The sequence below is a fragment of the Homo sapiens genome, chromosome 11 (genome assembly GCF_000001405.40).
Source record: "Homo sapiens chromosome 11, GRCh38.p14 Primary Assembly".
Lineage (NCBI taxonomy): Eukaryota > Metazoa > Chordata > Mammalia > Primates > Hominidae > Homo > Homo sapiens.
Genome location: NC_000011.10, coordinates 63,493,092 through 63,505,689, shown reverse-complemented (window position 1 = coordinate 63,505,689; position 12,598 = coordinate 63,493,092). Strand labels below are relative to the sequence as shown.

The 12,598-nt window shown below is 42.1% G+C and overlaps 1 long non-coding RNA gene across 1 annotated transcript, besides 2 other annotated features; it reads right to left on the bottom strand.

The window, feature by feature from the left end:
* Positions 2,014-2,684: an enhancer, noted in NCBI's record as "NANOG-H3K27ac hESC enhancer chr11:63270478-63271148 (GRCh37/hg19 assembly coordinates)". NCBI's record gives its function as "activates a minimal SCP1, AML or CMV promoter by ChIP-STARR-seq in naive and primed H9 embryonic stem cells {active_cell/tissue: H9 hESC(naive and primed)}" and the evidence as "EXISTENCE:reporter gene assay evidence [ECO:0000049][PMID:30033119]".
* Positions 4,000-4,527: an enhancer, noted in NCBI's record as "NANOG hESC enhancer chr11:63268635-63269162 (GRCh37/hg19 assembly coordinates)". NCBI's record gives its function as "activates a minimal SCP1, AML or CMV promoter by ChIP-STARR-seq in primed H9 embryonic stem cells {active_cell/tissue: H9 hESC(primed)}" and the evidence as "EXISTENCE:reporter gene assay evidence [ECO:0000049][PMID:30033119]".
* LOC124902684 (uncharacterized) lies at positions 5,081-10,222 on the bottom strand. Its single transcript, XR_007062702.1, has 2 exons — positions 10,081-10,222; positions 5,081-5,288 (listed from the first exon to the last, which is right to left on the bottom strand). It is a non-coding gene; the product is annotated as an uncharacterized LOC124902684 (long non-coding RNA).
* Between the last annotated feature and the right edge of the window lie 2,376 nt (positions 10,223-12,598).

Genomic DNA, 12,598 nt, shown 5'->3' with positions numbered 1-12,598 from the left:
CGCCCGCCTTGGCCTCCCAAAGTGCTGGGATTACAGGCATGAGCCACCACGCCTGGCTCTCTTCCTCTCATTTTCTTGCCCCTTCCTCTACTCTTCTTCCTTTTCCAAGTTTTACAGCCCCCTGAGGCTCCATTTCAGCATCAGCTGGAAATGCTGGGGCCCAGCTGGGGTCACAAGAAAGTAGAATGAGGGAAGGGGAAAAAGCAGAGCCCCTTAAGCTTGGAAAAGGCAGCACAAGAAGCACAGAACTGCGCAGGAGGGAGACTTGAAACTTGACTTCCTCTTCAGCCTCTCGTCTAATGTGCTGTGTGCCCTTGGGAAAGTCACTTCCTATCTCTGGGCCACCCTTTGTTCATCTGTACATGGAGAAAGTGACCATAGCAGCATGTCCCACAGCGAGGCCTGTATCTGGGGGTGGGCCCAAATATCTGCATTTTACTACAGTCCTTCCAGTTCTGGTTCAAATCCCAATAAGGCTTTCCCTTTAAAAAGCAGCACAACCTCTCAACTTTATCCTGAGTTAGGAGGTTCCAGGATCTGACCCATTGCATCAGACTTGGCAGCAGGGAATTCCTGGACCAGGACCAGGCTGGGCAAAGGCTCAAGCGCATGGGGTGCTGAGGGCAGAGTAAGCAGCTCCCTGGATGGAGGGAGAGTGCATGAAGGGTCCTGGGATAAGGTATCTTAGCCAGTGCTACCTAAGCTGTGGTCCACAAGCCACCAGCATCAGCCTCACCTGGAAACTTGTTAAAAATGCAAGTTTGGGGTCCCCACCCCAGACCAACTGAGGAGCACTCTCTGGAAGCTGGGGCCAGGAATCTGCATTTTAACAGCCCCTCCAGGTGATTCTGATGCACTTTAAAGTTTGAGAAGCATTGACTTAGGATGGAACTAGAAGGGCTTTGGGTGCGGAGCTGAGTTTGTTCAGATGTTGCCGAGTAGGTGGAGCTGGGTTACTGAAGGTGCTTATTTGGAGAAATTCAATCAGACGTGCTCAGGAAGGGTGCTCTGTATACACAGTGAGAGGAAGCTAAGGGTGGAGGGGCCAGTTTCTTGAAGAAAAGAGTCAAATTCTGAAATAGTTGAAGAGATTTATTCTGACCCAAATATGAGTGACCAATGGCCTGTGACACAGCCCCAGGAGATCCTGAGAACGTGTGCTCAAGGTTATTGAGCTAGATTTTGGTTTTATACATTTTAGGGAGACATGAGACATCAAGCAATACATGTGATATGTACATTGGTTTGGTCCAGAAAGGTGGCACAACTCGAAGAGGTGGGCTTCCAGGTCATAGGTGGATTCAAAGACTTCCTGATTGGTTATTGGTTGAAAGAGTTAAGTAAGTACCTACAGACCTGGACTCAGTAGAAGGGAGTGTCTGGGTTAAGTTAAGGGGTGTGGAGACCAAGGTTTTATCATGCAGATGAAGCCTCCAGGAAGCAGGCATCAGAGCTCTTATCAGACCTAAAAAGATGCCTGGATCAGGGAAAAGACTTGGAAAGGGAAGGGGATGCTTTGCAGAGCAGATTTTCCCCACAAGAGTGAGGTTTGCAGGGCCATTTCAAAATATGTCAAATATGTATATTAATATTTTGGGGTAAAATGGTTTAATTTCTTTCAGGGCCCTCTGTCATGTGATGCTATACTAGAGCCAGGATAGAACTTGGTGTCTTATTGCTACAATGAGTCTGTTTAGTCAGTCTTCAGATTTTTGTTTTAATGTTAATGCTGGTCAGTTGTGCCTGAATTTCAAAGGGGGAGAGGGCATAATAAGGCATATCCAACCCCCACTTCCCATCACAGTCTGAACTGTTTCTCAGGTTAACTTTGGAATGCCTTTGGCTGAGAGGAGGGGTCCGTTCAGTTGGTTGTGGGGCCTAGAATTTTACTTTTGGTTTCCAAGTTGAATGGGTCTGGACATGGGACGCTGCACTGGAATCAGATCTGGGTCCTAGTCCCAGCCCCGGAACCAGTGCAGATCTTGCGGCTTGAGGTCAATGGTGTGCTTTCCCCATCCAGCCTCACTTCCTTCCTGGGTGAAATGAGGAAGGAGGATACGTTAGCTTGCTTGGGCTGCTGTGGATAAAAAAAGTCAAACTCTGTAAAATATTTAAAGACGTTTATTCTGAAGCAAATATGAGTGACCAAGGCCTAAGGCACAGTTCCAAGAGGTCCTGAGAACATGTGCCTAAGGTGGTTGGGCTGCAGCCAGGTTTTATGATTGGTTCAGGTTCGAAAGGTGGCATAACTCAAAGAGGGAGTCGGGGTGGGGGTTACAGGTCATAGGGGGACTCCAAGACTTTCTGATTGGCTATTGGTTGAAAGAGTTAAGTTATTATCTAAAGGCCTGGAATCAATAGAAGGGAGTGTCCGGGTCAAGATAAGAGGTTGTGGAGACCAGGGTTCTCATTATGTAGATGAAGCCTCAAGGGTGGCCACCCTTAGAGACAATAGATGGCAAATGTTTTCTATTCAGACCCCAAAAAGGTGCTAGACTCAATTAATTTCTTCAGGCTTGGGAGGGCCTGGAAGGGGGAAAGATCTAGTTATGTTAGCAGAGATTTTTTACAAATGCAATTTCCCCCCCACGAGAATGGCTCTGCAGGCCATTTTAAAATATGGCAAAGAAACATATTTGGTGGTAAAATATTTGATTTCCTTCTTATCCGTCATGTGATGTTATGTCAGAGTCAGTATGGAAAGTGAGCCACATTATGTAAGGTTAAACAAAACCCCTCTGTTGAGATTTTATGGTTTGTAGGTTGTGACTCCCCAGGCCCCTTAAATAGGAATTTAGGCAAGAGAAGAAAAACGTCAGAGTTTAGTCCTCACTGCCATAACAAAACCCACAGACCAGGTGGCTTGAACAACAGAAACTTATTTTCTTACTGTTCTGGAGGCCAGAAGTCCAAGATCAATATGTCAGAGGGTTTGGTTTCTTCTGAGGCCTCTCTCTTTGGCTTGCAGATAGCCACCTTCCCCAGGTCTCTGCGTTTGTGTCTTAATCTTCTCATCTTATGAGGACTCCAGTCATATTGGATGAGGGCCCAACCACATGACTTCATTTTACCTTAATCACCTCTTAAAATGCCTTGCCTACAGATACAGTCACATTCTAAGGGTCTGGGGCTTCAACACAGGCTTTTTGAAAGGACCCAATTCAGCCCCTAAGAGTGGAGTAGCTGTAACTGTTATCTTCCTGAAACCCCAAGGCTATTGCCACAGCCAGAGGTAGGGCTGATGAGGCCTGTTCCGGGGAGGCAGCTGCAGGAAGAGGATGGTGCATTTCCTTTCTCTTTTTAGGTAACTGCTTTTTGACTTTATTGGGCTTGTCAAGAGCTTCTGCTTGCTCCAGGATAAGAAAGGGCCTCAGTGTCTGTGAGTGTTTAGGGGTGAGAGAAGCAGTCTCTCTTCCTGAGCCAGAATGAGGGAGAACTTGTGAGAGAAATCCAGGAAAGTGCTGGTGACCTCAGGGGGCCAACGGCCTAGGGTGACCCTGACACTGGCAGGGCATCATCTATTCCCACCTGTTGACGAAAAGAGTCGAACTCTAAAATATTTGAAGAGATTTATTCTGAGCCAAATATGAGTGACCACGGCCCATGACAGCCCTCAGGAGGTCCTGAGAACACATGTGCAAGGTGGTTGGGGTGCAGCCTGGTTTTATACATTTTAGAGAGGCAAGAGACCTCAATCAAATACATTGAAGAAATACATAGGTTTGGGGTTGGGCATAGTGGCTCACGCCTGTAATCCCAGCACTTTGGGAGGCCGAGGTGGGTGGATCACTTGAGGTCAGGAGTTTGAGACCAGCCTGGCCAACATGGTGTAACCCCCATCTCTACTAAAAATACAAAAAAATTAGCCAGGCATAGTGGTGCACACCTGTGATCCCAGCCACTCAGGAGGCTGAGGCACAAGAATCACTTGAACCCAGGAGGCAGAAGTTGCAGTAAACTGAGATCACACAACTGCACTTCAGCCTAGGTGACAGAGCAAAACTCCATCCATCTCAAAAAAAAAAAAAAAAAAAACGAAAAGAAAAAAAGATATACATAGGTTGTTTGGTCCAGAAAGGTGGGACAACTCAAAGCAGGAAGGAGGGGGGCAGGGGGCTTCCAGGCTGTAGGTGAATTTAAACATTTTCTGGTTGACAATTGGTTGAGTTTGTCTAAAGACCTGGAATTCATAGAAAGGGAAAGTTCAGATTAAGATAAAGATTGTGGAGACCAAAGTTCTTTTGAAGTCTGATCGTGGCTGCCCTTAGAGACAATGGATGACAAATGTTTCCTATTCAGGTCTCAGTTAATCTCTTTAGGAGATTAGGAGGGTCTGGAAGAAAAAAACCTAGCTATGTTAACAGAGATTCTTTACAGTTGCACATTTTCCCCCACAAAGAACAACTTTGCAGGGTCATTTCAAAATATGGCAAAGAAACATGTTTTGGGGTAAAATATTTTGATTTTTTTCCTTGTCTCCTAATGTTATGCCAGAGCTAGGTTGGAAAGTCAGTCACAATATATAGGGTTAAATAAAACCCATCTGATGAGAATTTATGATTTGTAGGGCATGACTCCCCAGACCCCTCAGGAATTTGGGCAAGATAAAAAAATCAGAGTTTAGTCCTCACACCTTTCTCCCCAAACCTGGCAGGGGATCATCTATTCCCACCTGTTGATGAAAAGAGTCGAACTCTAAAATATTTGAAGAGATTTATTCTGAGCCAAATATGAGTGACCATGGCCCATGACAGCCCTCAGGAGGTCCTGAGAACACATGTGCAAGGTGGTTGGGGTGCATCCCCACGGCCAGCTCAGCTCCCTACTCCATTTTTCCCTTACAATGCCTACCATCACTCGTTGTATATTTGAAGAACTGTTTAATTTTTCTCCCCATTCGCTGTACTCCCTGACTATGTTTCATGATGGCAGACTTATTCCTATACCCTCAGTATTGAGCAAAGTGCCTGACACAGAGTGAGTATTCAAATATATTTATGGAATGAATGAATGTAACTGTAACCGCCCCATGGGTTCTTCCTGCCCATTGCACAGACAAAACCAATTCACTGAGACCACAGCATTGCAATAGAGTTTAATCATTGAGGCCAGCCGTGCCACGTGGTAAATGGAGTTATTACTCAAATCAATCTTCCTGAAAAGTTGGAGGCTAGGGTTTTGTAAGGATAGTTTGGCAGGCCAGGGAGTCTGCTTCTGGGTCCACGACTGCTTGGCGGGGTTGGCAGGTCCAGGTGGAGCCATCGGTTGATTGTCAGAAATGCAAAAACCTGAAAATACATCTCAAATTGTCAATCTGAGGTTCTACAATCATGATATTATCTGCAGGAGTAATTGGGGGAGTTGCAAATCTTATGATCTCTGGAATAATGGCTGGTAATTGTTTACCTCTACACCTTGGCAGAATCTAGGCTCCTCTCATCCTCCTAACCTGGTGGCCTTTCATTAGCTTTACAAAGGTGGGTTAGTTTTAGGGAAGGGCTATTATCATTTAAACTATAAACTAAATGTTTGAAATGTTTGTTCCCCAGTACCATAATGAAATAGCACTTGAAAATAAATTTAATTTTCTCAGCAAGGCCATTTTTATACTTTCTGCAGAAAGGGTACACTCGCCAGCAGTTTTGCCATAAGAGTACACTCAACAAAGGAGACAGGGTCATTTATAACCTGATGTGTTCACCCTACTGCTGTGTCCGGTTTCCACTGGCTGGAACGGGACCTCATATTCTGTAGTTGTCCCGATTGGCTAGCAACTTAGAGCTTTTTAAGAGAGGCAAAGGCAGAGGAGAACAAAGGAAGGAGGAAGTAACTTGCGGAATGCTGAGAAAGGTAAAAATACCTTCAAATAAGGAAGAGGAACAGGCTATAACCTAATGCTTGCTTGGACCAGTATAAGCATGCCAGGGCAAATATTTAGGCTAAATTGTGGGAGCTAAGAACATAAAGTACATTGATTTCTCTATTACGGCTAGCAGATATTTAAGAATGTTAGCACAGGTCTTTGAATAAATTTTGCTTCTAAGAGAAGTTACTATTTATTTCTAATTAGATGGGGAGGAAAGTCTTTGAAGAGGAACCTCTACTTTACTTTTTACATAAATGTCTCCCAAAGTTAGCTTGGCCTAAACTCAGGAATGATCAAGGGCAGTTTGGAGGTCAAGAGCAAGATGGATGTTAGTTGGATCAGATCTCTTTCCCTGTCATAATTTTCTCACCATCATAAATTTGCAAAGGTGGTTTCATAACCACTGATGATTTATGGCTCTTGTCCAGCCTCTGCTCCTCAATTTATCCCAGTAGACCTGGAATTGTGGCTCAAGCACAAACTAGTCCCATACTCTTCTTCTAACTGGCCACAGATTATAATTGGGGCATTACAATTAGTAAATTATAATTTTAAAATTATATATAAATTTAAAATTATAATAAAAAATTATAATTTACTAATTATAATACCCCAATTATAACTATTATTAATCAATTATCAATTAACAGCCTAGGAAAAATAATTTGTGGTCAGGGATCTTGAGGTGGCCCCCTCTGTCCCCTTCTTTGTTCCAGCAGGCTCTTTCACAATCCCTGCTTCTGAATGGGTGTAACTCTTGGGGCCTAGAGGAGGGACTAATGTGTACTTTCACCTACTTTGGTCTATATCTCTGCCTCCCTCTTCTATCTGATAGCCTTCTAGATCACTAGAAAACTCTTCCACGGATCCTCTTTCTCTAGAGGTCAGTTTCAAATCATTCTGGAACAGAGGGTAGGATATTTAGGAGAAATACTAGGCAAGAAGAATTGACAGAACCTGACAGCCAGCTGAATAAGGGAGTCGAGGGAAAGGGGATGGATGAGTGACTCCAGTATCTTGAACCTGATGACTGGGAAGATTCTAGTGTCCTTCATGAAAAACAGAGAAGGGGCAGAGCGAGATGTGGAATAGAAGCCTATACCACCCGCCCCCCACCACAGGAACACCAGATTTTATCAACTATCTGCACACAGAAAAGCATCATCACGAGGACCAAAAATCAGGTGAGCAACTGTGGTACCTGGTTTTCACTTCATATTGTGGAAAGAGACATTGAGGAAGGCAAGAGAGACAGTCTTGAATTGCTGACACCACCCCTACCCCACCCCCTAGCAGTGGCCATGCACCATAGAGAAGAGAATCTGTGCACTCTGGGGAGGGAGAGCATGGTGACTGAAGGATTTTACATGGAACTCAGTGCTGCTCTGTCACAGCAGAGAATAAAGCCATGCTGGGCTCAGCCAGCGCTCAGGCATGGAGGGAGCATTTGAACCAGCCCTAGCCAGTGGTCAGAACTTGAGTTTCTTGGCAAGCCTAGCCACCACAGGGTGAAGTGCTCTGGGGTCCTAGGTAAACTTGAAAGGCAGTCTAGGACACAAGAACTGCAATTCCTAGGCAACTTCTAGTGCCAGGTTGGGTATACAGCCAATCAATTAGGGTGGCATGTGACCTAGGGAGATACCAGCTGGCATGGCTAGTATCATACTGAGTGGGGAAAATCTGAAAGCCTCTCCTCTAAGATTTGGGACATGACAAGGATGCCTACTGTCACCACTGTTATTCAACATAGAACTGGAAGTTCTCGTTAGAACAATTAGACAAGAGAAGGAAATAAAGGGCATCCAGACTGGAATGGAAGAAGTAAAATTATCCTTGTTTGTAGATTATATGATCTTATATTTGGAAAAACCTAAAGAGTCCACCGAAAAACTATTAGAACTGATAAACCAACTCAGTAATGTTGCAGGATACAAAATCAACATGCAAAGATCAGTAGTATTTCTATGTGTCAACAGTGAACAATCTGAAAAAGAAGTTTAAAAAGTAATCCCATTTACAATATCCACAAATAAAATCCAAGACCTAGGAATTAACCAAAGAAGTGAAATATCTCTACAATGAAACTGTGAAACAATGATGAAAGAAGTTGAAGAGGACACACAAAAAATGGAAAGATATTTCATGTTCATGGATTGGAAGAATCAATATTGTTAAAATGTCCATACTACCCAAAGCAATCTACAGATTCAGTGCAATCTCTATCAAAATACCAATGTAATTCTTCACAGAAATTGAAAAAAAAATCCTAAAATTTGTGTGGAATCACAAGAGTAGCCAAAGCTATCCTGAGTAAAAGGAACAAAACTGGAGGAATCACATTATTTGACTACCAATTATACTACAGAGTTACAGTAATCAAAACAGCATGCTACTGCCATAAAAAGACAGATAGACCAATGGAACAGAATACAGAACTCAGAAACAAATCCATACACCCACAGTGAACTCATTTTTGACAAAGGTGCCAAGCACATATATTGGATGAAAAGACAATCTCTTCAATAAATGGTGTTGTGAGAATTGGATATCCACATGCAGAAGAATGAAACTTGATTCCTATCTCTTGCCATATATAAAAATCAAATCAAGTGGATTAACAACTTCAATCTAAGACCTCAAACCATGAAACTACTTCAAGAAAACATTGGGGTAACTTTCACGTTGGTCTTGGCAAAAGTTTCTTGAGGAATACCTCACAAGCATAGAAAACCAAAGCAAAAATGGACAAATGGGATCACACCAAGTTAAAATCTTCTGAACAGCAAAGGAAACAATCAACAAAGTGTCAAGCCAACCCACAGAATGGGAGAAAACATATACAAACTACCTATCTGATAAGGGATGAATAACCAGAATATATAACAAGCTCAAATAACTCTATAGGAAAAAAATCTAATAATTTGATTTTAAAAAAGGCAAATGATCTGAATAGACATTTTCTCAAAAGAAGGCATACAAATGGCAAACAGGCAAATGAAAAAGTGCTCAACATCACTGATCATCGGATAAATGCACATCAAAATTACAATGATATATCAATTAAATGGCTTGTATCCAAAAGACAGGCAATAACAAATGCTGGAGGATGTGGACAAAAGGGAACTGCTGTGCAATGTTGGTGGGGATGTAAATTAGTACAACCACTATAGAGAATAGTTTGGCGGTTCCTAAAAACTAAAAATAGAGCCGTCATATGATCCAGCAATCCCACTGCTAGGTATATGCCCAAAAGAAAGGAAGTCAGTATATCAGAGAGATATCTGCATGCCCATGTTTACTGCAGCACTGTTCACAATAGCCAAGATTCGGAAGCAAAGTGTCTCAGCAGATGAATGGATAAAGAAACTGTGGTACATATACACAAGGGAGTAATATTCAGCCACGAGAAAGAATGAGATTCTCTCATTGGCAACAACATGGATGGAACTGGAGGTCATTATGCTAAGTGAAATAAGCCGGGCACAGAGAGACAAACATCACATGTTCTCGTTTATTGGTGGGATTTAAAAAATCAAAACAATTAAACTCATGGAGATACAGAGTAGAAGGATGTTTACCAGATGCTGGGAAGGGTAGTGGGGAGGTGGGAGGGAGGGGGAATTGTTAATGGGTACAAAAAAATAGAATGAATAAGACCTAGTATTGATATCACAACAGGGAGACTATAGTCAATAATTTAATTATACATTTAAAAATAAAAGAATATAATTGGATTGTTTGTAACACAATGGATAAATCCTTGAAGGGATGAATATCCCCCCCAATCCCCCCACAAAAAAAGATGCCATGGGTATAATCCAGAGGGTGGCAGGCTATGTGGGTTCTCAGTCTGGAGCCTGCCTAGCAAGCAGCTTCGAAATCATTACTAAGCTTAAGGGGGCAGTGGGACACGACTGCTTCTCATTCCAGTGTCTCTTTGGGTCTGATAATTTAAAGGAGGCTTGCATTTCTCAAACAGAATACTTCTTTTCTTTCTTACTTTCATATGTATGTGAAAATGTCCATAGTAAAAAGTAGAAATTCAAAACAAAAGCCATAATTAATGTTAAGCTTTTGATTCCATATCCTACTAATGGCAGGTGAGATGCATGGCTAAGGGCCTGGATGTGGGGAGCACGGTTTGCTCCTTTGGGCACCCTCCCTCCCACTGCAGTACCCTGGAATAGAAGGATGACAGGGGCTACTATGTCTACCTCAAAGACACCACCTCTTCCTCCCTTTGCAGTTGGGAGCATGGAGAAGGGACAGAGGTGATAGATTCTAGTGTGCCGTGGGACAGTCCATGGACTCCCTCCAGCTCTGCGTAGTTCTCTTGTGCTGGGGGCCTTTGTGTATGTGGTCTCCATAGAGACAGTGTGCAGGCAAAGTTCTTTCATTCCAACACTCTCTGCCACTGAGGACTCTCACCCCCCACCGCCAGAGAGGCACCTGGGTCTCCCTTTGGGCGTGTCAAAAGAAAGACAAATTAAATTGAACATAGTTTAAATGAGCAAATAATTTATGAATCAGGCAACCTGTCGAATCACAGGAGATTCAGAGACACTCCAGTGATACTGCATTGTCGAAGATGATTTATGGTCAGAAAAAGGAAAGTGATATACAGAAACAAGTGAGGTACAGCAACAGCTGGACGGGTTACAGCTTGGCATTTGCCTTATTTGAACATGATTTGAACAGTTGGCTAAAACTCGGTGGCTGGCACAAGAGTAGGTTATAGTCTGTTTACACATCCAGTTAAGTTACATTTCACTATGTACAGAGAAACCTTTAGGCTGAACTTAAAATACGTAAGGAGGCAGCTTTAGGCTAAGCTTAATTTAACAGGCCTTTCCAGAATTAGAAGTCCTTCTGCTTCTCCATCTCAGCTCCTCCACATGGTGTCACAGGAAGCACTGAGGTCCTCATCTCAGCACCGTGAGAACCAGCAGTTAATCACCAATAGAACTTCACTATAGGACCTTCAAGGCCCATCTGTATTTTGGGAAGAAAGGTGACCTCAGACAGAAGGTTTGTGATGCAAGAAGGAATGATGAGCAAAGGTGGTGGCAAACATATAGGCAAATCTAAAAGAATGTCTGCCTAATATAATAATGGTAATAATAATGTGAATTGGGGATTAAAAAGGGGCAGACTAAAATAGCATGGGTAGGAAAGATTAGAGTGAAAGTGTTCCAAGGTCCTTACATTGTTTCAGAGGATTGTTTAGGATATTAATTTTAGACTTAAGCATACATGTTAAAATTTCAAGGGCAATAAGTAAAAGAATACAGTGTAAACTTCCAAATAAGTAGAGGGAAAATGCAATATACTAAGATTAGATATTTATGAAGAATATTAGAAGAATTCATTGAAAGGTTTTAAAACCTAACAATAGAGAGATAGAATACATTATTAACTGAAAGAAACAATTTTGTAAAGATGCCAAAATTGCCAAGCTGATTTATTGATTTACTGTAATTCCAAGCAAAATGCCAATAGGGTATTTTGAGCAACTTGACAAACTAGTTTTGCAATTTATAATGAAAGGCAAAAGCTCAAGCATGGTTGAGAAGTTCCTGAGGAAGAATAAGTAAGGAGGGATCTTGAGATATTTGTACATCAAGATTTATCATAAAGATGTAGCAATTAAAACCACATGATAGTAGCACAAAGACAGATACATTTATCAGTGATACTGAATAGAGTCAACAGTATTCCTGCTCTTTCAAAGCATTATGCAGGACAGAGGTGGCCTTGTTCATCTATGAAGAAGTGGAAACTATCAACAAGTGATGCTGAGACAGTTATTCATATGAGGAAAAATGAAGTTGGATCCCTGCCTCCCACATATACAAAAATCAATTCCAAATGGATTAGCGAAAAAGGCAAAATTTAAAAACATTTTCAAGAAAATATAGGAGACTATCTGGCCAGGCACGGTGGCTCACGCCTGTAATCCCAGTACTTGGGAGGCCAAGGCAGGCAGATCATGAGGTCAGGAGATCGAGACCATCCTGGTTAACATGGTGAAACCCTGTCTCTACTAAAAATACAAAAAAAAAAAAAAAAAAAAAAAGAAAATTAGCTGGCCATGGTGGTGGGCGTCTGTAGTCCCAGCTACTCAGGAGGCTGAGGCAGGAGAATGGCGTGAACCCGGGAGGCAGAGCTTGCAGTGAGCCAAGATAGCACCACTGCACTCCAGCCTGGGCGACAGAGCAAGACTCCATCTCCAAAAAAAAAAAAAAAAAAAAAAAAAAAGAAAATATAAGAGAATGTTTTCTGAATTCAGGGCAAGAAAGACTTCATGAAAAGATAGGGAGCTGACCACAAAAGAAAAGACATGAATTCTACTTGTCAGAAGACATCATGAAGAAAGTGAAAAGACAAGCCATGAACTGCAAGAAAATGTGTGTAAACAAGTATAACTGACTAAAGATGAGTATCAAGAATATACAAAGAGCTCTACAAATCAAAAAGAACACAACTCCAAAGAAAAATGGGCAAAGGACATGAACAGACACTTTTAAAAAGAGGGAATGTGATAAATATATGTAAAGGTCTCAACTTTATTAGTGATCAGGGAAATGCAAATTAAAACGCTGGTGAAATACTATTTTACATTCACTCACCTGGAAAAATCAAGAAGTGTGACAATACTAAGTGTTGGTGAGGATGTAAATTAATAAATCTTACCCATTGCTGGTAGAAGTGAAATTGGGACCACCAATTGGG